At 42.5% G+C, this 27,792-nt stretch overlaps 1 protein-coding gene across 10 annotated transcripts in view, besides 5 other annotated features; it reads left to right on the plus strand.

The window, feature by feature from the left end:
- The window catches only part of GCNT2 (glucosaminyl (N-acetyl) transferase 2 (I blood group)), a 108,018-nt gene that overhangs the window by 56,160 nt on the left and 24,066 nt on the right, over positions 1 to 27,792 (plus strand). The window contains exon 4 of one of the 10 annotated variants that reach the window (XR_002956275.2): positions 23,815 to 23,960. The exons of 8 other annotated variants lie outside the window; for them this stretch is intronic. Coding sequence is in view for 1 of the 2 variants with exons in the window: in NM_145655.4 (NP_663630.2) it covers positions 8,480 to 9,404 (925 nt within the window). In the remaining variant the exon portion in view is untranslated. Of the gene's footprint in view, positions 1 to 8,249; positions 9,405 to 23,814; positions 23,961 to 27,792 lie in introns of those variants that run through there. One more of the 10 variants, NM_145655.4, reaches the window with a different exon arrangement.
- Positions 1,226 to 1,520: a silencer, noted in NCBI's record as "tiled region #5327; HepG2 Repressive non-DNase unmatched - State 23:Low". NCBI's record gives its function as "represses a minimal TATA promoter and a strong SV40 promoter by Sharpr-MPRA in HepG2 cells {active_cell/tissue: HepG2}" and the evidence as "EXISTENCE:reporter gene assay evidence [ECO:0000049][PMID:27701403]".
- Positions 5,162 to 6,135: an enhancer, noted in NCBI's record as "OCT4-NANOG-H3K27ac-H3K4me1 hESC enhancer chr6:10582905-10583878 (GRCh37/hg19 assembly coordinates)". NCBI's record gives its function as "activates a minimal SCP1, AML or CMV promoter by ChIP-STARR-seq in primed H9 embryonic stem cells {active_cell/tissue: H9 hESC(primed)}" and the evidence as "EXISTENCE:reporter gene assay evidence [ECO:0000049][PMID:30033119]".
- Positions 8,084 to 9,056: an enhancer, noted in NCBI's record as "OCT4-NANOG-H3K27ac-H3K4me1 hESC enhancer chr6:10585827-10586799 (GRCh37/hg19 assembly coordinates)". NCBI's record gives its function as "activates a minimal SCP1, AML or CMV promoter by ChIP-STARR-seq in primed H9 embryonic stem cells {active_cell/tissue: H9 hESC(primed)}" and the evidence as "EXISTENCE:reporter gene assay evidence [ECO:0000049][PMID:30033119]".
- Positions 11,512 to 12,059: an enhancer, noted in NCBI's record as "H3K27ac hESC enhancer chr6:10589255-10589802 (GRCh37/hg19 assembly coordinates)". NCBI's record gives its function as "activates a minimal SCP1, AML or CMV promoter by ChIP-STARR-seq in naive H9 embryonic stem cells {active_cell/tissue: H9 hESC(naive)}" and the evidence as "EXISTENCE:reporter gene assay evidence [ECO:0000049][PMID:30033119]".
- Positions 18,422 to 19,409: an enhancer, noted in NCBI's record as "NANOG-H3K27ac-H3K4me1 hESC enhancer chr6:10596165-10597152 (GRCh37/hg19 assembly coordinates)". NCBI's record gives its function as "activates a minimal SCP1, AML or CMV promoter by ChIP-STARR-seq in naive and primed H9 embryonic stem cells {active_cell/tissue: H9 hESC(naive and primed)}" and the evidence as "EXISTENCE:reporter gene assay evidence [ECO:0000049][PMID:30033119]".

Below are 27,792 nucleotides of genomic sequence, written 5' to 3' on the forward strand. Positions count from 1 at the left end.
CCATGGTTTGTTGAATGCGTTTATTTTTTATTTTATTTTATTTTTTTGAGATAGAATTTCACTCTTTTTGCCCAGGCTGGAGTGCAATGGCATGATCTCGGCTCCCTGAAACCTTCGCCTCCTGGGTTCAAGTGATTCTCCTACCACAGCCTCCCGAGTAGCTGGGATTACAGGCGTCTGCCACCATGCCCAGTTAATTTTTGCATTTTTAGTAGAGACGGAGTTTCACCATGTTGGCCAGGCTGGTCTTGAACTCCTGTCCTCTGGTGATCCACCTGCCTCAGCCTCCCAAAGTGCTGGAATTACAGGCGTGAGCTGCTGCACCCGGCCTATTGAATCCATTTAAAGCAAACGCCAGGTCATTGTTTTTGAACTTCGTGGTGGTAGGAGGTGCACCTTAAAATCAGCGCTTTGCATAACACTTATTCCTTGATTTAACCCACCACCACCATGACCACCCCTCACTGATTCACCCAAAAGTGGGTTTATTTGTTGTCTTTTCTCTAACTTCTGTAGTTGATTGACCTCATTCAAGAAATATCTGTTGGGTACCTCTGCTCTGCACTGCTATTTTCAGTGGTAAAGAGTAGATGAAACTGGCCAGGCGCATTGGCTCACGCCTGTAATCCCAGCACTTTGGGAGGCCAAGGTAGGTGGATCACTTGAGGTCAGGAGTTCGAGACCAGCCTAGCCAACGTAGTGAAACCCCGTGTCTAATAAAAACACAAAAATTAGCTGGACACATCTATAATCCCAGCTACTCTGGAGTCTGAGGCAGGAGAATCGCTTGAATCCAGGAGGCGAAGGTTGCAGTGAGCCGAGATTGAGCCACTGCACTCCAGCCCCTGGGCAACAGAGTGAGTGAGACTCTGTCTAAAAGTAAAAAAAAAAAAAAAAGAGTTGATGAAGTCCCTGTCTTCATGGAGCTTACATTCTTTTTTTTTTTTTTTTTTTTTGAGACGGAGTCTCGCTGTCGCCCAGGCTGGAGTGTAGTGGCATGATCTCGGCTCACTGCAAGCTCTGCCTCCTGGGTTCATGCCATTCTCCTGCCTCAGCCTCCCGCGTAGGTGGGACTAGAGGCACGCGCCACCTCGCCTGGCCAATTTTTTGTATTTTTAGTAGAGACGGGGTTTCATCGTGTTAGCCAGGATGGTCTCAATCTCCTGACCTCGTGATCCGCCTGCCTTGGCCTCCCAAAGTACTGGGATTACAGGCGTGAGCCACTGCGCCCGGCCCGGAGCTTATATTCTTGTGGAGGAGAGAACATGGAAAAGGATAAGCATACAAAAATGAAGTTAACTTAGATCCATTTTGTTGTTGTTGTTGTTAAGATCATCACTTTTGAGCACTTGTTTAAGGCAGATATCTGGATTAACCACATTGAGGAACTGGGAGGAGGCGGAGAACTGGAAACTGTGTTAAGTAGGGGTTGACTAAACCCTGCTTCTGGTATGAGAAAGTTAAGCTTATCTTCAGAATGGATGCTGAGGCAACATCAAACTATAGGAATTCACCACACTGCATAATTTTGTTTTAATATGAATTTCTCTGATCTCTAGTGTGAGAAGAGTGTGTTTCTATATGTTCATTGGCCATTAGTTTTTTCTGCTTTGTGATTGTCATGTACTCTGCCTGCTTTTCTCTTTGGTTATTTACCTTTTCTTATTAATTTATAGGCTACCTCTTCACAAGAGGAATATTAACCTCTAGTCTTACAAAACTGTTGTCCCAATCTATTATTTCTGTATTCTGTGCTATTAAAAACAATGACTCAATGAAAAAACCCACTATATTAAATAAATATATTTCAGAAATGCATTTTTAAATAGAATGTGCAGAATATATGTATAACATGTCTATTAATCCATTTCTATTTGTTTCACTAAATGTTTGTATTCTGCTTATATTCAAAGAAAGCTAGGTTGGCCTGTTTTCTTCACAGCTTTCAAGTCCTTTCATAGACATTAACTTGTTTGATCTCTATAAGTACTAGAGATATTGATCTAGTAAAGTAATAAAATGGGGCCAGGCATGGTAGCTCATGCCTATAATCCCAGCACTTTGTGAGGCTGAGGCGGGTGGATCACTTGAGGTCAGGAGCTTGAGACCAGCCTGGCCTACAGAGTGAAATCCCGTCTCTACTAAAAATACAAAAATCAGCTGGCTGTGGTGGCTGGCACCTGTAATCCCAGCTACTCGGGAGGTTGAGGCAAGAGAATGGCTTGAACCCGGAAGGCGGAGGTTGCAGTGAGCTGAGATCGTGCCACTGCGCTCCAGCCTGGGCCACAGAGCGAGACTCCATCTCAAAAAACAAACAAAAAAAAAAAAAAAAAAAAAACAAGTAATAAAATGGGCATGGAGCTGTATAAATGCCGGTATCCTTACACCAAATGATCTCACACAGCTCTGCGTTTGTAGTTGAACTTACTTCACCTACTGCTGTCGGCAGGGGACCTGAGCCTGCCAGTTTTGTTTCCCTGTTCTAATTTGTGACTTTGCATCTGCTTAGCTATAAGAACATTTTATGATCGTGTCTAAACTAAGATTTAACAGGCTAAGCCTCAGAGGGATTTAAAGGATGTAAGCTTTGATGCTTAAACCAAAGAAGACAAAACTGGCATCCTGAGGGCCAAATGCCATCCTTAGGGGTAAGTTTGAGAGTTTTTCTGATAAAATTCAGGTTTCTCACTTCTCTGAATACACTGGAAAAGCTGGCAGCCCTGGGCTCATGATCCCCTGTGGCATTAATTGCCAGGGGTCAGGGGGGTGGGGAGGGATGCAGGCTCTCTCATTCCCAGCAGCCCCCACCCAATCCTCCTCAATGTCTGCTGCCCTCTGTGAACTCACCGGCCCTGCTCGTCTGACCCTTCACCAGCTTCCCGCACTGTGCCTTACCTGCCTGTAGGCATTTGAGTGCCTGAATCCGTCCTACAATGTGTGATGATTATTTTGGTTGCTTGGAGATCTGTTTTTGCTTAATTCCTGCATCTCGCTTGTGGCCAAAGAGTTTGAGGTTGCCAGCCAGGCACAACTAAAGCCTTAGACACAGATGAAGATGGAGTGGTCTTGGTGGAGATGAGAGGACTCATCAAAAAGCATTGCCTTAAAAAAAAAAAAGATTCAATAGCCACTCATTCTGCAGAGGGTGATGAAGAACGGCAAGGATTTGAGAGTAGGTCCGACTCGGGTTCCAGTCCTGCCCCTCCCCTGACCGGCATCTGCCTCAGCCTTTGTAAACTCACCTGCAGTGGAAGCAGAGCTCGTGGAAGATTAATGAGAACTAACTCATTGTGAGGGAAGAGAAATCCCAGCACTGCTCAGAGGGCCCCGCAGGCAGCCCAGCCCTGGTTTTCATGTTGAGTTGAGATGATGATGTGTTGTTAGCCATAGTCCTTGTGCTGTCTTCTTGTTTGTGACCGTAAAAGTTATCCTGGGGCAGAGAGAGGTGGGACTGATACAGAATGACCACTTAACAATTTTCAGTCTGTTGAGCCAACTAGAGTGGGCAGAGCAGAAATAATGCCCTGGTTGGAAGTTAATAGCTTTGCCTGCCCAATTATTTACTGGAAGGAAATGCCTGTTCAATATACCATTTGATATATTCAAAGATACCAAACAAAACAAACCTACTGCTAGGGCCAGCCACTCAGAAGGCATCACATGCTAGTCTCAGTCTGTTCATCTAAACCACTGTAAATAAGTCAGGACAAATGATGTACATGGTTTTGGGGTTTTGTTTTATGTATGTATTTATTTATTTTTTATTTTTTATTTTTTGAGATGGAGTTTTGCTCTTGTTGCCCAGGCTGGAGTGCAATGGCGTGATCTGGGCTCACTGCAACCTCTGCCTCCTAGGTTCAAGTGATTCTCCTGCCTCATCCTCCCTCGTAGCTGGGATTACAGGCATGCACCACCCCACCTGGCTAATTTTGTATTTTTAGTAGAGACAGGGTTTCTCCATGATGGTCAGGCTGGTCTCGAACTCCCAACCTCAGGTGATCTGCCCTCCTTGGCCTCCCAAAATGCTGGGATTACCGGCATGAACCACTGCACCCGGCCTCATTTATTTATTTTTGGATACTGCTGTTTTGAACTATAAATCATGCTGCCACTCCCATCTGCAGACTGCTTTGGCTACATCATGTTGAAAGATTTCTTGAGTTTGTTTTGCATTGGCACTTATCAGAGCTCCTTATTGTAGGATCAAGGCTTGAGGCAAAGAGAAGGGAAAAAACCGACTGAACCTGCAATAGAAGACCTTTGCCTCTCTTTTCTCACTCCAACTTTCCCCTTCTGTTCTCCACAAGACCTGCCAAGGACAAATTTTACAGAAAAGGGTGTGGTTCTAGTAAGAATGAAGAGACATGAAGGCATCAAAATGGGTTATTGGATTGTTCCCTTCATACAGTCACATTTCTAGAGTGTGTGTGAATATACATAATAAAATAGTAATATATATATATACACACACTTATATGTATATATAAATATATTTATGTGTATATATGTATATATCATATGTATTATATGTATATATTTAAAAATACACATGTAATATATATTTTAAATATGCATACAAAAATATATCTCTTAAAGTACATATAAAAAACATTTATAAATGCATATATGATATATTCATATATGTATGTGTATAAAATATTTTATATAAAATATATTTTTATATAATATATAAAATTTATTATATATATAATTATATATATTTAAATATATAAAATATATATAATATATACTATATATTAAATATATAAATATATATAATATTACTATATATTTAATATATAGTAATATTAAATATAATATATACTATATAATATATAGTAATATTAAATATAATATATACTATAATTTAATATTTATTATATACTATAATAAATAGTATAATATTTATTATATACTATAATTTAATATTTATTATATAATATATATAATAAATATAATATATACTATAATATATACTATAATATATAATATAATACATCATATATTATATTATACATCATATATTATATATCATGTATAATATATATCATATATATTTAAATATATATAAACTATATATAAAATATTTATATATTTATATAAATATATATATTTTTTTTCCCATGGGCTAAAGGGGAGGCAGTGATGGGGAAGAAAAGAGTGGAATTTAACCTCCGGGAATAAAGCATTTGAAAACCTTAAGGTAAATGCTTTTTTTTTCCATTACTAAGAACAGAAATCAAAATATCAGTTCATTATGAGGGTCAGAAGTGTTGGATATTTTCCAAAAGAGAAACAACAACAACAACAATCATAGCTAATGCTTATGGAACATCTACCAGGTGCCCGGATTCTTGCCAAACCCTCAACAAGAGGTATCTCATTTAGTCTTGACAACCATTTGAAATAAGAGCCACTGTTCTTTATCTTTTCACAGTGGGAGGACCTGGTTGTGTAAAGAGGTTAAGTAACTTTACCCAGGCACTGTGAGCAGCTGGGATTTAGCCAAACAGACTGGCTTCAGCACCTGGACCAGGGAGCTGTGGAATTAAGGCTCTGGTTTCTATCCAGCTGAATGACATTGGGGAGAATATTTTTAAAGGCCTCAATGTGCTCATCTGTAAAAATAACGGGGTTGTGATGGGTGATCTCAAAGATCCCCGCCAACTCTCTAGCAGCTCACCAAATTAATATCCAAATCAATATCCATCGCATCCACGGCACTGTTGCCATTCATTCCTACAGTTCACTGTAGGAAGTTAAGGGGTGGAGTGGAGCAGAGAGGGGGCAGGGAAATGGCTGCATTGTGAATCAAATGTTTTCCTAACAGGAGCAGCTGTTCCAACTGGCACAAGCCCCGGCAGGTACGATTGCTAGGTGACTACAGGAGTGAGATGGGAGCAGGGCCCACTCTTAACATGCCTCGTGTGGCTGCCACAGTTGATCCTTTAGTTGACCAGTTAATTTCTCCCTTGGAAGTGTCCTTACCGTCCGCATCAATCCCCAGTGCACTTCACATTGGCTGCGAGATCGCTTGCAGCACTGCAAGCAGGTGAACTCTGAGAACCCTCTGTAATGCGACCAGACCTGTGCTTTTCCTGGTTCCCCTGAATTACACTGGCTGATACTTCCAGGAATTCTGCAGCAGCCCTGGTGGTTTTGTTCTTTCTTCAGAAAAGGAAGTTGGAGAGGGGGTTGGGTGGGAAGGAGAATGAGAATCCTTTAAGTTCTTTGAAATGACCTCAAATCTGAGGTTGTCAGGCTTTTAAAGAGAGCCAGTAGGTAGTCACTCCACATATTGTAGATAATACTGTGTCAACAGCTCAAGTTATCTGAAGCTCTCTTTGTGAAATGGGACCCAACTTTTGCTCTCTGGGAACACTATCACATTTCTCTCTGGCATGCAAACTTAGGTGTGTTTGATGAAGGGAGCCTGCCTCTCCACTCCTGTGGGTATTTCTTGCAAGGTGGAGATGAGAGACTGAGAAAAGAAATAAGACACAGAGACAAAGTACAGAGGAAGAAAAGTGGGCCCTGGGGGACCGGCGCTTAGTAAGTGAGGACCAACACCGGTGCTCACTTACTCTGAGTCTCTGAGTTCTCTCAGTATTTATTGATCACTATTTTTCCTATCTTGGCGAGGGGAATGTGGTGGGGCTATAGGGTGAAGGTGGGGAGAGGGTCAGCAGAAAAACATGTGAGTAAAGGAATCTGTGTCATAAATAAGTTTAAGGAAAAGTGCTGGGCCTAAATGTACACGTAGGCTAGATTTATATTTAACTTTACATAAACATCTCAGTGCAGTAAAGAGTAGTATTGCTGCCATGATGTCTCACCTGTATCCATAAGGCGATTTTCTCTTAGAGTAGAATGTATGGTTGGTTTTACATTTGTCATTCCATTCCCAGGGACGTGCGGGAGACAGACGCCTTCCTCTTATCTCAACCGCATTGAGGCCTTCTTCTTTCACTAATCCTCCTCAGCACAGACCCTTTACGGATGTCGGGCTGGGGGGCTGTAAGGTCTTTCCCTTCCCACGAGGCCGTATCTCAGGTTGTCTCAGTGGGGGGAAACCTGGACAATACCCAGGCTTTCTTGGGCAGGGGTTCCTGCGGCCTTCCGCAGTGCATTGTGTCTCTAGTTAATAGAGAATGGAGAATGGCGATGACTTTTACAAAGCATACTGCCTGCAAACACATTTTTACCAAGGCACATCCTGCACAGCCCTAGATCCATTAAACCTTGATTCAATACAGCACATGTTTTTGTGAGCACAAGGTTGGGACAAAAGTTACAGATTAACAGCATCTCAAAGCAGAACAAAATGGAGTTTCTTATGTCTTCTGTTTTCTACATAGACACAGTAACAATCTGATCTCTCTTTCTTTTCCCCACATTTACTTCATCATATGATATCAACACTGACTCTTTCATGTAAAATGTCAGTCCTAGGTTCCTTCCACCCTTGTGTCCTGCCTGTGCCCCCAAGGGTGTAATTCTTTGTTCCCTCTTCCCATAGTCAGTGTGTGTGTGTGTGTGTGTGTGTGTGTGTGTGTGTGTGTGTGTGTGCGCGCTATATTCTGACACATCATTAGAATCTAAATTAATCTACCTTGTTATATTTTTCTGCCACTGATAATCTTCTACTTAGTCATGTTACAAATGTATTTTTTAAAGTAAGTGTTTGAAGAGACAGGGTCTCACTGTCGCCCAGGCTGGAGTGCAGTGCTGCCATCATAGCTCACTGCAGCCTTGATCTCCTTGGCTCAAGCAATCCTCCCGCCTCAACCTCCTGAGTAGCTGAGACTACACGTGCGTGCCACCATGCCTGGCACACATTCATTTTTCATTATCTGTGTCTGTATGTGCCCAGAGGTACAGATAACACTAAAATGAAAAGAGGTGGCAGAGAACAGGAAGAGAAAGAAACCAGAGGAGCCGATATCCTTAAATGCTGTGGCTCCTAAGGACTGCCAGCAGGTTGTGGGGCTAGCCAGAAAAAACAGAGCCTCTGATTCTAGAAGGCTTGGAGAAAGCGTGAGAAGGGAGATCAGATCAGAATAGATTGATGGAAGGGAAAGGCGGTGAGGGTGAAGCAAGAGAAACTCGGCTCCAGTGAAAAGGACCCATCATTGCATTCCAGAACGTAATTTGCATTTCATATGTAAATGAGGAGGCTTCCTAGAGGCTGGACTGGGCTGGGCTTAGCTGAGCCTTTGCAAACAGCAGGGATTCAACCCTGGGGAACTGCAGACCAAAGTGAGAGAGGGACGCACCGCATCTCCAGGCACATCCAAAAAGGATGGACGAGACACCGAAGCAGAGGATACAGGAGGATTAAAGGATTCAGGAAAGCAAGCAGCCCTCCGGAGAAGCTGTCGAAATTCAAGACTGGCAAGAGAAGCAAATTCAACCTCTCACACCGATCATTTCTCATTCCCTGAAAAGAAGAGATTGTTTCCCCAGGGAAGTGAAAATAATGAACTTTTGGAGGTACTGCTTTTTTGCTTTCACTCTGCTCAGCGTGGTCATTTTTGTGAGATTTTACAGTAGCCAATTGAGCCCGCCAAAAAGTTATGAGAAGCTGAACAGTTCCAGTGAAAGGTATTTTAGGAAAACTGCCTGTAATCACGCCTTAGAGAAAATGCCAGTCTTTTTGTGGGAAAATATATTACCATCACCTTTGCGAAGTGTCCCTTGCAAGGATTACCTGACCCAGAATCACTACATCACAAGTCCCCTGTCGGAAGAAGAGGCTGCATTCCCTTTGGCCTATGTCATGGTCATCCATAAGGACTTTGACACCTTTGAAAGGCTCTTTAGGGCTATCTATATGCCCCAAAATGTCTACTGTGTTCACGTGGATGAGAAAGCCCCAGCTGAGTATAAGGAATCTGTGAGGCAGTTACTGAGTTGCTTCCAAAATGCTTTCATTGCTTCAAAGACAGAGTCTGTGGTTTATGCAGGCATTTCCAGACTCCAGGCTGACCTGAACTGTCTGAAAGACCTTGTCGCCTCTGAGGTTCCCTGGAAGTACGTCATCAACACCTGTGGACAAGACTTCCCCCTGAAAACCAACCGGGAGATAGTTCAGCATCTGAAAGGATTTAAAGGGAAAAATATCACCCCAGGGGTGCTGCCTCCTGACCATGCAATTAAGCGAACTAAATATGTCCACCAAGAGCATACAGATAAAGGTGGCTTTTTTGTGAAAAATACTAATATTTTGAAAACTTCACCTCCACATCAGCTGACCATCTACTTTGGCACTGCCTATGTGGCGCTTACCAGAGACTTTGTCGACTTTGTTCTACGTGACCAAAGGGCCATTGATCTACTACAATGGTCAAAAGATACCTATAGTCCTGATGAGCATTTCTGGGTGACACTTAATAGGGTTTCAGGTAGGTACTAATTTCCATTCTGATTGATAGATTGAGTTTGCTAACATTCTGCTCGCCTAGAGAACTGACTCATTTGAAATTATTATGAAATAAATTTAAATACTTAGAAAACTATTAGTTTGGTTGCTTGTAGCAACAGTGTATTGCTGACTGTTGTCTTATCAATATGTGTGATATAGTGATCTAAGAAATGCTGGCTGCAGTCGCCCCAGCAAAACTAACTTTGATTACATAGTTGCTGAATTTTAACTGTTGTTTGAATTAATACTTTTCGTAGTCCTTGATAAACACAGCTGTAACAAACAAAATTGACTTTTAAAATAAGCATTCTAGAATTTAGGAGTTGAAATAGGTGATGTTTCTTTCGGACGGATGTTAGACATCGCTTTCATTGATGCAGTCTCATTGCTCAAAGTTCATGGAGCTGTTACAGGGGTACTTACTGGTTTTAGAATCTTGGAAGCTGCTTCGGATATTCACAAATCACCATTCTGGCTGAAACATCTCTGGTTTAAGATCTGAACAAGTAGCCAGGTCTCAGCTCTTCTTGTTTCTACAAATCTAACCTGATATTTTAGCCTGGAGGAGTGGGTAACAAAGAGTTGGAACATACGGAGAGAGAATCTAGCTACAGATGATCCAAAGAGAATTCTCAATTTTTAAGTCATAGGTTTTTATTGGACATTCCAATTTGCAGCTTCTTGTTTTTATATACTGTGCAGTCTTTGGTTGTTTATGATAATTTGGGAAAGCGTCCAAGGTATGCCAGGCAGCTGAGGCAGAAGATAGCACCAAGCTCCCTCGTTGGTTCAGGACTGGGTTTCTTTTCTAAACTCTGTTTCCCATAGGTGGTCTGTGACCTGCGTTACGTCTTTCCTGTGTGTCCCCACGTGCTTGTTTTCAACAGTGACCCAGCATGGTTGTGGGTGACTGGTGGTTCTCATGAGCACAGTGACCCCGACAAGCCTCACATACTTCCTGTCTACACACACACACTGCACAACCACACCACACATACATACACACCTGCCTGCCATTCTTGAAATAACTCCCAGCTCTTATGTCTAGTGTCATTATCATTGGCATACTTTCAAGTGCTGTTTGAAGCCACCTCTTGCCTGAAAGTAGACTCAATGCAGAAAGGTCCCCAATAACACGGCATTCCTAAGAGCTAAACTAGAGTGGTGGTCACAAAAATCTACTTAGAGAGGGACAGAAAGAGGATGGGCAAGGTGGCTGGAGACGAGAGAATTATGCTGTCTCATGCGCAATTTATTTTCAGAGATGCTAAACTGTCAGGTCACAAAGACTTGTAGGAGGGGTGGTGAACCAACATTTATCACAGTGGTGAGAGCGTTAACCCTTTCTTTACAATCACCTATTTTAAACGCATGTAAATACTGCATGCGTGGCATTTAATCTTATTTTTGTTGGTATAGTTGGTGATAGCCTACATCGTTCCTTTTAATGATAGGAAGTCATCGTGTTAGCCTCACGTACAGATGAAAAACATGAGGCTTAGAGAGACTGAAGCAATAGTATGTTCACGTTGTTCACATAGCTTTTCATAGGCAAAGCTGGAATCTGACCCTGCATTTGTGTGGCCTGAAGTGTGAGCCGTTTCTCTTGCACTAGGAAAAGAAGGAATGAGCATTTCTTTTTTCCTGTATATCTAAAGCAAATTTCCTGCAGAATCCCGAAAAAGGGAAAGGATTGAGGGTGTTTGGAAAAAATGAGGAGGGCTGTGGAAGGAAGTTTCACCTGATCACTTAGAGCTGGAGATGAGGTTAGCAGGGATATGGTGTGTGTGTGTGTGGTGTCCCAATATGCTTGTGTGGTGTGTGTGTGGTGTGTTTGTAGTGTGTGTGTGATGTGTGTGTGTGTGTGTGTGTGTGGTGTATGTGTGTTTGCAGTGTATGTGTGTGGTGTGTGTGTGGTGTGTATGTGTATGTGTGTGGGGTATGTGTGTTTGTAGCGTGTGTGTTGTGTGGTGTGTGTGTAGTGTGTGGTGTGTTTGTAGTGCGGTGTGTGTGTTTGTAGTGTGTGTGGTGTGTGTGTATGTATGGTGTGGTTGTGTGGTGTGGGTGTGTGTGTGGTGTGTATATGTGGTGTATGTGCGTGGTATGTGTATGGTGTGTGTGTGGTGTGTGTGTAGTGTGTGGCGTGTTTGTAGTGTGGTGTGTGTGTAGTGTGTGTGTGGTGTGTGTGTATGTGTGGTGTGGTTATGTGGTGTGGGTGTGTGTGCGTGTGGTGTGTGTGTGGTGTATGTGCGTCATGTGTGTATGGTGTGTGTGGTGTGTGTGTTTGCAGTGTATGTATCTGGTGTGTGTGTGGTGTGTATGTACATGTGTGGGGTGTGTGTGTTTCTAGTGTGTGTGGTGTGTAGTGTGTGGTGTGTTTGTAGTGTGGTGTGTTTGTAGTGTGTGTGTAGTGTGTGGTGTGTTTCTAGTGTGTGTTTGTAGTGTGGTGTGTGTTTGTAGTGTGTGGTGTGGGTGTATGTGTGGTGTGGGTGTGTGCGTGTCTGTGTAGACAGCAACTATGTGAGGCTTGTCAGGGTCACTGTGCTCATGAGAGTCACCAGGTGTCCTTTCTGGAAAGGATCCACCATCCCTCAAAGGCTTCTGTGCTGTCTCCGGGGTCCATCTGGAGCAGGCTTTGGTCTGGGCCAGTGGCAATGGGAAGTGGCCCTTGGTTCATGTTCTCAGAGAAGCTGGGGAGTAAGAAGCAACCAGGCAGATTTGAAAGGTCCCAAATTTTTAAAGTTTTCACTCCATCAGCTACCAATGTTAATACTTCCTTGTACATCTTTCCAGAGGTACTTTATTATGTTTATAGGTAATAAAACTGATTAAACGTGGAGAACATTACATATGGACTTTAAGTTCACTACAGATATACTCAGAAAAGGAAAAATGGTCCTTATTTTAGGTGCCATATTGTCTGTGAGAAACAAAATACAGCAAAATGTGTCTTTTATTTAAATACATCATATGCAGACATTTAAGAAGCTCTTTTTTCATTACTTTGTAGTATTTTTAAAGCTAGGTACAAGGAATTTTCTGGACCAAAGTTACCAGGGACCTTTGCCCCACAGCATCCAACCGCGATGAAGTGCAGAACTCTTGCTGATAGAACACCTACTATTCCCTTGCTCCAGGCTTTATAATGGCTTCTCCTGATCTTAAGGGACCCTTAAGGCTTGGCCGGGCAAGGTGGCTCCCACCCATAATTCCAATACTTTGGGAGGCCAAGGCAGGAGGATTGCTTGAGGTCAGGAGTTTCAGTCCAGCCTGGGCAACATAGTGAGATCCCTGTCTCTACAAAAAATTTAAAAATTAGCTGGGCATAGTGGTGCATGCCTGTAGTCCCAGTTACTCAGGAGGCTGAGGAAGGAGGATTGCTTAAGCCTGAAAAATCAAGGCTGCAGTGAGCATGACTGCACCACTGCACTCCAGCCTGGGTGACAGAGTGAGACTCTGTCTCAAAAAAAAAAAAAAAATGCTAGGCTTAAGCTCTTCATGTGGCATGACTTCCAGGACCTGGCCCCCCACACCCTCTGTCTCTACCCTCATTTCTCTTTATTTGATGCCTCATACTTTATGTTCCAGCAACTACTTGGCCCCACACTTCTGCAATTTTCACCTATTTTTTTTTTTTTGAGATGGAGTCTTGCTCTGTCGCCAGGCTGAAGTGCAGTGGCGCGATCTCAGCTCACTGCAACCTCCGCCTCTCAGGTTCAAGCGATTCTCCTGCCTCAGCCTCCCGAGTACATGGGATTACAGGTGCCCACCACCAAGCCCGGCTAATTTTTGTATTTTTAGTAGAGACATGGTTTCACCATGTTGACCAAGATGGTCTCGATCTCCTGACCTCATGATCTGCCCGCCTCGGCCTCCCAAAGTGCTGGGATTACAGGCATGAGCCACCGCGCCCGGCCTAATTTTGACCTATCTTTTTATGGCTTTTTAATGACATCCTCTCATAAAGAATGTCCTTCGTGTTTGATGCCCTTCCTGTCTAACTCTTCATCCTTTATGTCTAACTCTGTCTAACTCTTCATCCTATATGGCCCACCTTGGAAGTCACTTCCTCTGGATGCCATGTCTGATCACCTTCCTCCCAGATCGTGTTTCAACTCTGGGTTCTCCTGGACCTAATGCCACTGCTGCCAGCATTGAATTGTAGTCACCTATTAACTGAATAGCTCTTCTACCAGACCTCCTCAGTATTTGAGCTCCTTAAGCATAAGAAAAGTGACATCTGTCTTTGTGTTCTCCACCACTACTCCTACGCTGCATGCATCACTATGCACCTGCCTGATCTGATGATATGCAGGGTGCTAGATGGATGTGGAAGGGTCGGGAGGGGCAGGAATGTGCTGGAGAGTTCTGAGAAGATGGGCAGAACCTATGAAAGTGTACCCTGTACCTAGGATGGGGGATAATTTTTGGTAGTAGGGATTGGAGAAACAGTAGGTAAAACTCCACAATGGCCAGGCCAACAAATGATATCAGTAAATATGAGAGAGTCCTGAAAGAATTAGCGAGCCCCACTTTATTCCAGATAAAATGTTAATGGGATAGAGTCTTTCCTTAGAAAATGTGGCTCCCACACAGCCAACCTGGGCCCATGATGCAGTCGGATTCTGATGCCAAGAGAAAGTCACAGCAGGCGGCGTATGCAGACGCCTCCACTTAGTTTCTGCCTTCCTTGCACCTGGTGTGAGTTTCTTCCACACCTGCCACCCACTCCCTCCTCCTGCTAGTACCACTCCCGGGCTACTCACATTCATGCACTGGGCTTCTTCTCACTTAATTTAATGTAGACTTCTCCTGAATTGTTGGCTTAGGAAAAAAACCAAGACTATAAGAATATGAGAGGCTAAGAAGAGACAACAATAGAAAGAAACTCAAAACGTCTCTCCAGCTCTCAACAACTGTAAACACTGAGCTATTTAGAAGGTATATGTTCTCTGCAGGAAGGTCACTGGGACCTTACGTCTGGGTGTGGCTGAATCAGTCCCAGTCTTTTTCAAAGTATGCATTGTGTTCTCTCTACATCAGCCCAGACTTTGAATTCAGTTTCTAGGACCACAAAGGATTCATTCACTCATGCTGATTGGACCCGTGACTGAGAATTAATTACAAACGTTGAATGATGGGGTAGAATCATGTCTTAACAAACGTCACCAGGACGTTCGAGTCTAAAATAACGCTACTTGGGGGGGCTGGAGGACAATCCACACTGACATTTGTCTTGTCAATATGGAGATAAATTCTGGCTGAAGGAGAAATTCCACAAAACAGATACTTCCATAGGTTCGTATCCATTGAACAGACTCTTAAAATAATATTTTTGGATAGCCAGATGATATTAAGTATGCATAATAAATGAGAACATGATTTTCAAAATATTGCGTTAGTGATGTGGACCAGTCTGGCTTATTTAACCTCTTCAGTAAAGGGCTCTAGGCTCTTCCCAGGTCAGTAATTCAGGTAGGATCACAGGGGAAGATTTTAATTTACAATGTATCCCAGCTCTTGTGAGCACCTAGATTGATGGGTCTACATCATAAGATGCTGGGCTCCTGGTAGAGAAACCTTAGGCAGGTTATAAAGTATTTACACAGTAAATTATGCTGACGCTATAGCCATTTGTAGAATCATTTGTGACGTTTCCAGCCACTGGCTCCATTGTACTATTTGGGAAGGATCATCTCCTTCATTGGAGAATCTGTACCCTAACATTTCTGTTCGCCACCCCTAAAAAGGAAATAATTGGGAAACGCTACTCTTAATGAGCTCTTTTATTTTTATTTGTTTGTTTGTTTGTTTGTTTATTTATTTGAGACAGAGTACCACTCTGTCGCCAGGATGGAGTGCAGTGGTGTGGTCTCGGCTCACACAACCTCTGCCTCCCAGGTTCAAGCAATTCTCCTGCCTCAGCCTCCCAAGTAGCTGGGACTACAGGTGTGTGCCACCATGCCCAGCTAATTTTTTCATATTTTTAGTAGAGATGGGGTTTCACCATGTTGGCCAAGGTGGTCTCGATCTCTTGACCTCGTGATCCACCCACCTCAGGGTCCCAAAGTGTTGGGATTACAGGCGTGAGCCACCACGCCCAGCCTTAATTAGCTGTTAATTCCTAATCTCTAGAACAACATTTTATAAAACAAGACAAATTGGATTAAAGTATATATTAGTATAAAGTATATATAAAGTGAATATTGAATTAAGTATAAGTACAATCATGATTGGTAAACATCTACTAAGCTGAACTGAACATGAATTTAATTCTAGCGGAAAGGATGAGCATTCTTTCTACTGCTTTAGAACCGGCAAGATCATTTCTCCAACTCATTCATCCTCCTGTCATTCCTTATCGATTGTATAAGACAGTTTTTTCTAGAAGCAGGAGTTGTTTTTGTCTTTGTTTTGTTTTGAGATAGGGTCTCCCTCTGTCACCTAGACTGGAGTGCAGTGGCATTAATTTAGCTCACTGCAGCCTCAGCCTTCTGGGCTCAAGTAATCCTCCTGCCTCAGGCTGCCAAGTAGCAAGGACTACAGGTATGCACCACTACACCTGGCTCATTTTTAAATTTTGTGTAGAGATGGGATCTCGATATGTTGCCCAGGCTGGTCTCAAACTCCAGGGCTCAATTGATTCTCTCCTCAGCCTCCTACAAGTGCTGAGATTACAGGTGTGAGCCATTGCACCTAGACAGTTGTCTTTGTTTTAAATGAAGTATTGCATTTTGATGGCTTCTAAAAACAATAAAATATTAGTGGTATATCAAAGCTATATATAATTGATATATGTATATATCAATGTCCATAGTACAATGATCAATATATACTCGACGTCTAAATTATCTCTTGAAAATACATATCTCTTCCCTATTTCTCTTTACACAATACAAAAGCATCTCCTTCCATCCTCCTTTGTTTGAGCCCACATGCTATCAGGTAAACGACTTTGGAGACAGACGTAGTGTAAGTCTGTCCTCCCAATACTTGCCAACTGTGTGACACTGGTGTTAGTTTACACTGAGCCTTAGTTTACTCATCTGTGATGATGGAGATAATAAATAGTACTTAGTTCCCAGAGAAGTTGTGAGTATTAAATAAGCTAATGCATATAGTACAGGGGTTCCTAGACTTGGCCATGCCTCAGAACCTTCTGCAGGTCCTGTTAAAGCACAGATTTCTGGGCCCTACCCCGAAGTTTCTGATTCAGCAGGTCTGGAGCAGTCCCCAGAATTTGCATTTCTAACAGTTTCCTGGGTTATCCTGCAGCTTCTCATCTGGGGGCCACACTTTGAGAACTGCTGACACGGACCATCTTTTACAGAGACTGGCACATGTATAGATTTGCAGCAAATGCCGATTCTGTTCATTTCCAACCACCAGTAAAAATAAAAACTAGTTGATATAAGGAAAAGCTTTATGGTGTTGATTGCATATGGCAGACTTCATGAAAGTGGTATGCAAATAACTGATATTTGGGATGTACTCATATTAAGGATATATTATGGGCTCTGGAGTGAGACAAATGCAATATTGAATTTTAGCTTTATCTCCGTTAGTTTGATGACCTTGTGTACTCTGACCTAAAACTCTTCATTTTGTAGTCACAATAATGATGGCTACTTAGTAAGGCTGTTTTGAGAATTAAATTTTAAAAATGGGGTAAAATGACAGGTTAGGTGTTTATCCACTTATTAATGTGAACATTTATTAAGAAAAACCTACATGTGGTCTTGTGTTCCTACACTAATGAGATCCTCAAGGTGTTGAATAAAAGCAATTTAAATCTCACTATAGAAGGATGTCTATGCCATGGCTCACCAACCATATAAAACTAGATGTAGATGTACCCAAAGATGGATAGGAGGAAATGTGTAAAGTAAATTGACATGTTCAGGTGGATACCAGTTCCTTTTTTTTTTGAGATAAGGTCCCTGCTCTGTTCCCCAGGCTGGAGTGCAGTGGTGTGATCACGGCTCACTGTAGCCTCGACTTCCCAGGCTCAAGCAATTCTCCCACCTCAGCCTCCCCAGTAGCTAGAACTATAAGCCTGCCTCACCATGCCCTGCTAATTTTTAATTTCTTGTCGAGTCGGGGTTTTACTATGTTGCCCAGACTGGGATATCTGTTCTTGATCATTTTGATTTCCATTAGTGTTATTGATGTACTTTTTATGACCACCAAAAAGCTTCACTTACCCCTTACATAACACTATGAAATGTGTATTATCCATTAGAAGAGTGTTTCCTTAAAAACATGAAGGATGTCAATGCTATCTATTTTTGAAATCAGTCATATCACAGGAAAGGAGCAGGAATTGTGTTGCTTTATTTTCTTTCTTTTTTTTTAATTTTTTGAGACGGAGTCTTGCTCTGTCCCCAGGCTGGAGTGCAGTGGCGCGATCTTGGCTCACTGCAAGCTCTACCTCCTGGGTTCACGCCATTCTCCTGCCTCAGCCTCCCAAGTAGCTGGGACTATAGGTGCCCGCCACCACACCCAGCTAATTTTTTGTATTTTTAGTAGAGATGGGGTTTCATCGTGTTGGCCAGGATGGTCTCGATCTCCTGACCTCGTGATCTGCCCATCTCGGCCTCCCAAAGTGCTGGGATTACAGGCGTGCCACTCTGCCCGGCCGGTTGGTTGGGTTGCTTTCTTTTCTTAAGCCGTACCATGTTCCAGAAAGGACTTAAGATGTCATAATATAATTTCTTGGGAAAGGAAATCAACATAGCCAAGATCTGAAAAAAAATGAGAGCCTTTTCACAATTATTCTATGTAGGTTTTGACTGGCTTGGCCACATCTTCCCATTTTGAGTGTTTGGCTTCCTCAGTGTTAAAACAAATTTTGCCCATCCTCTTTGCAGAGGAGTAATTTTTAAACTCTAATAGAAAAACTTATAAACACACACAACAGTGCAGAGAACAGTACTGTAATCCTCACATGCCCATCAGCCAGTTTCGACAATCATCAACTTGTTATGCAAACTCAAAGCAAAAAAACCGAAAATGTATGACAAATCTTTGAGTTGACACTATAATTCTCATAAATAAGTAGCTTCCTCTTTTCAAAGAAAATGCAAAATTCTGATATTCCAGACTAAGGCTTTCTCCTCATCCCATAATAACAGTTCACTGAAAAGTAAAAATATTTTTATCCAACTTCACCTTTTAGGCTATACTACATGAACCGGACTGAGTTTTCTTTTTCTTTGTTTTTCAGCAACAAAGCTGAATCTACAAGCACAAGCTCTTTAGGCATTCAAAGTAGGAGGCAGAATGCGGTTTGTTAAGATTTCCATTCAGCTGGGTGCAGTGACTCACACCTGTAATCCTAGCACTTTGGGAGGCCTAGGCGGGTGGATCACTAGGTCAGGCATTCAAGACCAGCCTGGCCAACGTGGTGAAACCCCGTCTCTACTAAAATACAAAAAGTAGCCAGGCGTGGTGGTGCATGCCTGTAATCCCAGCCACTCAGGAGGCTGAGGCAGGAGAATCACTTGAACCCAGGAGGCGGAGGTTGCAGTGAGCTGAGATTGCGCCACTGCACTCCAGGCTGGGCAAGAGAGTGAGACTCCATCTCAAAAAAAAAAAAGATTTCCATTCTCTTGGCCTCCGTTTTTCTGGAGGAAAAATGGGAAGGAGTATGGTACTAAGAGTAGAAGATTGGTTAGTGGGGTACACTGGTATCCCACTGTATGGTTAGTGGGGTACACTGTTTCCTGTGTATCCCTCTAACCATTAAAGTTCCCTTGTTTTCATCTCTTCTCCAGACTGAATATTCTGTTTCCTCTATTAAAAAAAAAAAAGACAATGAGTCCAAAGTATGTTTGAATATAGAATTGACACGATGATATTTTGCCTTCAGCCAAATCTGAATGTATTTTCCATTACTGCGTATTCTCACAGAGGCTTCTCTATGAGATTCATTGTTGTTAATTTTTCACATCTGTAATTTAATTTGAGATGCCTCAGTTATTAAGTTATTAAGCCTCGTTACTTTGCATGAGGTCTTTGATCTTGCAGCGTGATGTGGATGAAAGAATACAAACTTTGGAATAGGACAGATCTTTTGAATCCTAGGCCTCACTACTTAACAGCTTGTCAGTCACTGAACAAGTTATTTAACCAAACTGAGCCTCAGTTAATTTTGGTTTTAGGACATTAAAGAAAGTTTTTAAGGTGTTTGAGAATTTATTAGAAAGTAGGAATTGCCTTTTTTTTTTTTTTTTTTTTGAGACACGATCTTACTCTATCACCCAGGCTGGAGTGCAGTGGCATGATCTCGGCTCACTGCAACCTCTGCCTCCTGGGCTCAAGCAATTCTCGTGCCTCAGCCTTCCGAGTAGCTGGGACTACAGGTGTGCCCTACCATGCCAGGCGAATTTTTTGTATTTTTAGTAGAGACGGTTTTGCCATGTTGCCCAGGCTGGTGTCAAACTCCCGAGCTCAAGCAATCTGCTTGCCTCAGCCCCCCAGAGTGCTGGGATTATAGGTACTAGCCACCACGCCCGGCCAGGAATTGTCTTAATTCAACTTCCACCCCATAAAATATATCTGGAATTGGTCTGGAGACAGTCTTATAGCAGTGACTACGACTTGCTAACATTTCTTTTCAAAGATATTTGTAAAAGGGCTAGAAGAATCTCTGGGTGTCTCCAAGGCTATGAGGGTTTTTGTTGTTGTTGTTGTTTTGCTTTTTTTGTTAGAGATGGGGTCTCACTCTGTTGCCCAGGCTGGTCTTGAACTCCTGGGCTCAAGCAATCCTCTCACCTTGTCCTCCCAGAGTGCTGGGATTATAGGCGTGAGCCACCACGCCTGGCCAGGATGTGAGTGTTGATGACCCCAGAAGACACTAAGGATTGGAACAGTAGCTCATGAACTTTGACTTTTTAAACACTTCACACTGCACAGTTAAAAACAGTAGAATACTAAGCAAATGGAAAGTAAGGATTATGAGCCATGCGTGAATGTTTAATTTTCTTTTTTTAAAAAAGTGCTTTCGAGTACTGTGTAAGAGAGGCTAGTGACTTAGATACCCACACTATACAATTCTGTTCTAAATTTTAACCTTTGTCTGTAGATAACTGTTTGGCCTTGGGCATGTCACTTAACCTCTCTGGGCCTCAGTTTCCTCATGTGTAAAATGAGGAAATTGGGCTAGGTCATCTCCGAAGAGATTCCTGTATTATTTTGCTTTAACTCTGGAGCATGCAGTGAAAAAAGCAGAAGTATTTGAGGCAGGCAGACTTAGGTTTTGTTTCCCTGCTGTCAGATCTTGAGCAATTAACGTATCTTAACATGGGCTTCCGGTGACTTATCTGTAAATTGAGGACAATACCAATTTCATGAGATTGTTGTGAGAGTTACAGACTATGGGGGTATATCTCCCCTCTCAGCCATTGTTAATTCAGTTATCACCTCCATCTCTCCCCCTTCTCCCTCTCCACGGTATATTAATGTCATGACATTCCTATTTATATTACACCGTGGACAGTAGGATTAATGAAACAATGGCCTCTGGGCATTGAATTTCTCTCTTTGTCACGGTCACTGTGTCCACATCTGGATGCCAACCACCACTACTGCTACAATGTAGAACTCAGGCCAGCCACCCTAGGCAGTGTGTGGGGGTGATTTTTGTGCTGTAAAATTCTGACCAAAGGAGGAAACTGAGTACCAAGTACTTACACAATATCTTCACCTCTCTGATTGTTCTTAATGTAGCACATTTCCCCTTGTTTCCAAGAGTATTTTCTCGATGTGCCCAGGGACGCTGAGCTGGACAAGGCTAGTGTAGTGTATTCAGTGCTGGGGAGGGAAGGGGCCCTCTGGAGCCGGATCATTTGGCTTCCAATCCAGCTTTGCAGATTCCTAGTGTGTGTGACGTGAGGCTAATTATGTTCTCTCTCTGATTCTCAGTTTCTGTATATGTAAAATGGAGATACTAACATTACCTACCACTGTGCAAATGAAATGTATGAATACATATCAAGTGCCTGGAATGGCGCATGGTGCCTAGTAAGTGTAAATAAGTGTTGTATTTATTCCACCCAATTGCCCTCGTTAAGGGGAAAATTAGCAATGAACAATTTCCCCTTGTTAAGGTGCTAGAAAAAATGCAGTCCCCCAAAGTGCCATTACAAAGGGTCTGGAAGATTTTCTGAAACTCAGACAAAAGCAGCTTGAATTCCCTCCGTCCCTCAGCTTCCCATAGTACCAGAGCTCATCCTGCACAAGGAATGAGAGGAGCAGAGTAACTAAGAATCTGGCATTGGTGAGTGGGATCGATTGTACCAGGTGCGCTGTTCACAGGCGCGTCAGTCCACGTACTGCAACGCTAGGAAACACAGGGAGCCAACAGCAATCCCAGGCCAGTGTTAACTGACTCTTGAAAAGAGAAAACCTAACAATTCCCAAATAACCTGAATCTTCTCTGTGTCTACCTCAGTAAAATATGTGGTGTTGTTTCCACCAGAATGAGGGAGCACCTGAACCAGACTGAAACCGGGTGTTTCAGTGAGAGGCATCTTGCCCATCTCCCTATCAGCTTCCATCTATTGTATCCCAGCGGAGGTAAGAGCAGGAGACAGTGTGCCGTATGAATTAGACATGAGGCCATGTACCTTCAGAGTCCGCCAGTGGTCCCCAGAGAATTGAGAGCTATGGTAGAATGAAGACGGTAGCTTCCCCTCTCTCCAAGAGTAGGGGGCTCACATCATGGCTTCTTGTAGCTTACGATCTTGGACAGATCTTTTCAATTCTCCACACTGGGTTTTCTCAGCCAAGGAATGATAATAACTGCTAATCTCATGGTGGCAAAGGAGGAGAAGGCACATGCTGTGAGCCATGAATTATGAACTCTTTAATAACTTATAACTCATTAATTCTAAAGCCAAGAGCATCACTCCTGGCACATAGAAAGAGGAAGGTTGTGGTGATGAAGTTTTTTTGAGTGGAAGATATGAAAGAAGCAGAAACTCAGGCTCCTTCAGGAATAACAGAATGATTTTGTGAAGTGGAATGTGTAATCCTGTGCTGGGGTTGGAAGGGATACTCTCATCATTTAAAGTGGAGAAACCAGGCACAGGGAGACGAAATGATTTGTCTGTGTTGCATGATTTAGCAGCTGAACCTGGCCACAAAGATAAGACTTTTAAGTCCTTCAAGACAATAATCTTTCTATATTTAGTGCTTCTTATAATTTCTTTCTGAAATGTCATAGATATCTGAGCAAAGGGGCAGTATGAATATTTTGGTGTCTATACTAATACTGAAATTTGGGTTTCAATGACAGGATTCTTAAAAAGTGTTCAGAATTTATGGGAAAAGAGTGCATATCAATATTACATCAAAGTCTTATAGGTATACTATATAATACAGTTTTTGAAATGTATACATTTACCATAAAGGAGATCCGTTCTGTTTTACATTGTTGTTGATTTTGAAGCAGCTTCTTTGTATTCTTTAATTTATATACATACAGTTCACTCTCTTTAGTGTGCAGTTCCGTGTGTTTTGATAGTGGTATAGAGTCACGCATCCACTACCGCCATCAAGAACAATTCCGCCAGTTCCCAAAATTCCCTCATGCTGCCCCTGGGAGCCAACCCCTACCCCCAGTGTCCCCTTGCCAAATCCTGACCTGTTCTCCATCCCTGCTGCTTGCCTTTTCCGGAAAGTCATATTTTTATCATAGCGTATGTAGCCATTGAGGGCTGAGAAAGCGCTGCTGCTTCTTCTTTCTTTTCTATTAATGAATGCCTTTTGTATGTTACAAGGTGCTCGTGAGGGTCTCTCTTAGATCCTCAGGCAGTTTTATTTTTATTTATTTATTTATTTATTTAGAGACAGCATCTCATTCTGTTGCCCAGGCTGGAGTGCAGTGATGCGATCTTGGCTTATTGCAGTGGTGCAATCTTGGCTTATTGCAGCCTCCACCTCCCAGGCTTAAGCAATCCTCCCACCTCAGCCTCTTGAGTACGTGGGACTACAGGCGCATGCCACCACACCCAGCAAATTTTTTGTATTTTTTGTAGAGATGGGGTTTCGCCATTTTGCCCAGGCTGGTCTTGAACTCCTGGACCCAAGCAATTCACCTGCCTTGGCCTCCCTAAGTGCTGGGATTACAGGCATGAACCACCGCTCCCAGCCCTCTGGTAGTTTTAATATCTATTGAGTATTGGTTCCTTTTGCCCTGCTTTTCTTTTTCCATGTTATTTGTTTTGCCCATAAATAACAGAAGCAGCTGGGCCCGTTATTTTTTTGAAAAAGTAGGGCTATTCTTAGTAATATTATTCATTTGGGGCAATAAACTAAAAGTAAGTACAGCATTTAATTATGTAATTAAACTTGTACTTTTATTACCTTTGATTTTTCAATATCAGTGATTCAGAATGAATAGTAGAAACACCGTGAACTTAATTGGAAGAACAAGAACAACCAAAAGTGTGTCCCACTTTTATTCTGAAAACACATGTGACAGACTCATAAAAGTTGCCATCAATCAATCAGATCATACAAGAGCATCATGGTGAGCATGCCACAACGCCCCAGTATGGTTTCTTATCAGAATTCTTACAGGAAAAACTCTGCTTAGGTTTGCAGATGGCTCAATGGTTTATTTTTTCCTATAAATTGAATATATTAGTCATTGGTCTTGATCTGAAGATGTCCATAATTCTGTTTCTAAAATATTCAAGTATTTAAAAGTAAAGCCCTTGGCCAGGCGCAGTGGCTCACGCCTGTAATCTCAGCACTTTGGAAGGCTGAGGCAGGTGGATCACAAGGTCAGGAATTCAAGACCAGCCTGGCCAAGATGATGAAACCCCCGTCTCTACTAAAAATACAAAAATTAGCCGGGCGTGGTGGCGGGTGCCTGTAGTCCCAGCTACTCAGGAGGCTGAGGCAGGAGAATGGCGTGAACCCGAGAGGCGGAGCTTGCAGTGAGCTGAGATCATGCCACTGCACTCCAGCCTGGGCAACAGAGCGAGACTCCATCTCAAGAAAAAAAAAAAAAAAAACAAAAAAAACACTAAAGCCCTTGATGCCGGAAAACTGGATACTGGAAACTGCCACTGCAGTCCCTAAATCAGCCCTAGGCAGAGGAGAGGGTACGAGGGCAAACCACTGAAGAGGCCAACATTTCTTTGCAGTCTCATTGCTTTATTTTACAAAGTTATTTAAATATTACATTTCTGTCTACTCTATAACTTTTGTAAACTTTTTATTGCAATATAATCCTATATACAGAAAATTGCACATACCAGAATTGAACAGATCACTGAAGTTTTACATTGCTCTTACCTGTATGCACAGCTCAAGAAACCATGTTCCTGGTACTCCTAGGACCCCCTACCCCACAAGGGCTCCTTCCCAGACACGTCCAAGATTAACAGTGGTCCTGACTGCATTAATTATGTGTGTGTTTTTGTGTCGCTGTGTAACTTCTAACGGAAGCCCAGGGCTTTTCATCCAAATGTCCAGGTTAAATGGGTATTTCAGGAAGAAGTGCCAGGCCTAGGTTATTTGTAGAATAAGACTGTAAACAGAACTGCCCTGCTGTTCTTTATAAAACATTAGGCTTGCAATAGATAGGGACTTAGTTCCCAGACTTAGCAATCTATATATACTGTAGTACATGCAGCAACAAATGGAATTTACCATTGACCTTAAACAACTTTTGACCTGTCTCGGTTTGCAAATAGGGGTTAAAATTAAACAAGAGTCGTAAGTGAGCATAATTTCTTACTTGGCTGCTCGTACATGGAATTGGAGGGAAGGTTTTACAAGTTGTGAATGAATTCTGCATTTATATCTAGCTGGGTGCAGCCTGGTGCCTTGTTTTGAAGGTGAAGAAGGCACTGTGTGCAGGGCAAGATGAAAATTTGTCTGGTGGAGTCATTAAGAACTTTTCCCCCGGTTACAAACAAAACAGTTCAGGGCAAACTGTGTTCTATTGATTTCAGACAGAGAGACGACCCTGCTGTGAGAGGCAAATCAATGCTGTACTTTTATTTGAAAGAGTCAGTAAAACCTAGGAAATGCCACCTGAAATGCAAAATACCTAGGTCAAGCTGTGAACAAACACATCTGAATAAATAGATGGCAGAAAAAGCTTATTACTTGATGTTCAAGTGCTGCAAACAACAGAATCTCTCATTTCTGGAATCCAATAAAACTTAAGTCCTAAAGAGGCAGTTTTTGAACTCAAAAACCCATCAAAGTGATAAACGTGTACATGAGTGACGCCTCACCTCATTTAATGTAAGGAAACCTCATACATCTCAATGGTACAGGTCCCTTGTAAAAGGTTGTTTTCAATCTATGTTCAATGTAGGTTAGTCAGCTATTTAATAGTTACGTTATTGTCATAAGCTCACATGGAAGTATTTCTTTGTCTGGAAGATGTTTTATGAAATGGTATTTTCTTCCCTTTTTTTCTGCCATTGGAAGAAAACTTTAATGTTATTCACAGTTGCCCTAGAAACAAGAGGCACTGCGCACCACACAGCGCCACGGTGGGAAGCACCCGTGTCAGTCCAGATGCAGACAGGGGAGGGAAAGACATAAGCCACAGTCTTTTTTTATTTTTTTGAGACAGAGTCTCTCTCTGTTGCCCAGGCTGGAGTGCAGTGGTGCAATCTCAGCTCACTGCAACCTCCGCCTCCTGGGTTCAAGTGATCGTTGTGCCTCAGCCTCCTGAGTAGCTGGGACTGCAGGCGCCTGCCACCACACCTAGCTAATTTTTGTATTTTAGTAGAGACGGGGTTTCACCATGTTGGCCAGGCTGGTCTTGAACTCCTGGTGTCAAGTGATCCACCTGCCTCAGCTTCCCAAAGTGCTGGGATTACAGGTGTGAGCCACTGTGCCTGACAGTCTTTTTTTTTTTTTTTTTTTTTTAATAATGCTATCTTAAGGTTTTTGTTTGCTTGTTTGTTTTTTGGTTTGTTGTTTGTTTGTTTGTTTGTTTGTTTTGAGATGGAGTCTTGCTCTATCACCAGGCTGGAGTGCAGTGGTGCAATCTTGGCTCACTGCAACCTCCGCCGCCCCGGTTCAAACGATTCTCTTGCCTCAGCCTCCCATGTAGCTGGGATTACAGGCGCACGCCACCACGCCCGGCTAATTTTTTTGTATTTTAGTAGAGATGAGGTTTCACAATGTTGGCCAGCATGGTCTCGATCTCCTGACCTCATGTGATCCGCCCGCTTCGGCCTCCCAAAGTGCTGGGATTACAGACGTGAGCCACCGCGCCCAGCCTATGCTTTCTTAATGATTGTTACTTGTAGGTATTAGATTTCATAATGTGTTTTTTTATTTGATCTTTGTTTTTTGTACTTTAATGTATTATTTGAAATTATTCTAATAACCACTGTCCTATTTGGCAGAAGTTACAGAATAATAGTTTTAAGAGAAAATAAGTAAAGACTCACAAGGTAAATATGCCAAAATGCTAACACTAGCTAATTTGAGGGAGTTGGAAAATAAACAATTGGCTACTTCTTTGAACTTTTCTGTACTTTGAAAATCTCCAAGACTTAAAGAAAGTTGCTGTATTTGGTGAAAAATAAACTCTCTCCTTACTGAGACATAATACTTGGTGCTTTAGTGCTATAGATAATACTATGAAGTATTATCTCTGGGCCAGGTGTGCTGGCTCACGCTTGTAATTCCAGCACTTTGAGAGGCCAAGGCAGGTGGGTGTCTCAAACCCAGGAGTTTGAGACCAGCCTGGGCAACATGGTGAAACCCCATTTCTACGAAAAATACAAAAATTAGCCAGGCACGGTGGCACATCCAGCTAGTCCCAGCTACTTGGGAGGCTGAGGTGGGATCACTTGAGTCTGGGGAGGTTGAGGCTGTGGTGACCTGTGATTGCACCACTGCAGTTCAGCCTGGGTGACAGAGTGAGACCTTGTCTCAAAAAAAAGAAAAAGAAAAAGAAAGAAAAATGTATTATCTTTATAAAAAAGATGTTCAATAAAAGACTTCTATGAAGAACAGGTATTCCTAGCCCAGGCAACATAGCAAGACCCTGTCTCTATAAAAAAATTTAAAAATTAGCTGGGCATGGTGGTGCATACCTGTGGTCCCAGCTACTTGGGATGCTGAGGTGGGAGGATCACTTGAGCTTAGGAGGTGAAGGCTGCAGTGATCCATGATTGCGCCATGTGCTCCAGCCTGGGAGACAGAGTGAGATCCTATCTCTTTAAAACAAAAAACAAAAAACAGGTGTTCTCAACCTTAACCACATATTGCTTTCATGTAGGAATTTTTTTTTTTTTTTTTTTTTTTTTGAGACAGAGTCTCACTCTGCCACCCAGGCTGGAGTGCAGTGGCAAAATCTTGGCTCACTGCAACCTCTG

This window comes from Homo sapiens, chromosome 6, assembly GCF_000001405.40.
Source record: "Homo sapiens chromosome 6, GRCh38.p14 Primary Assembly".
NCBI lineage: Eukaryota > Metazoa > Chordata > Mammalia > Primates > Hominidae > Homo > Homo sapiens.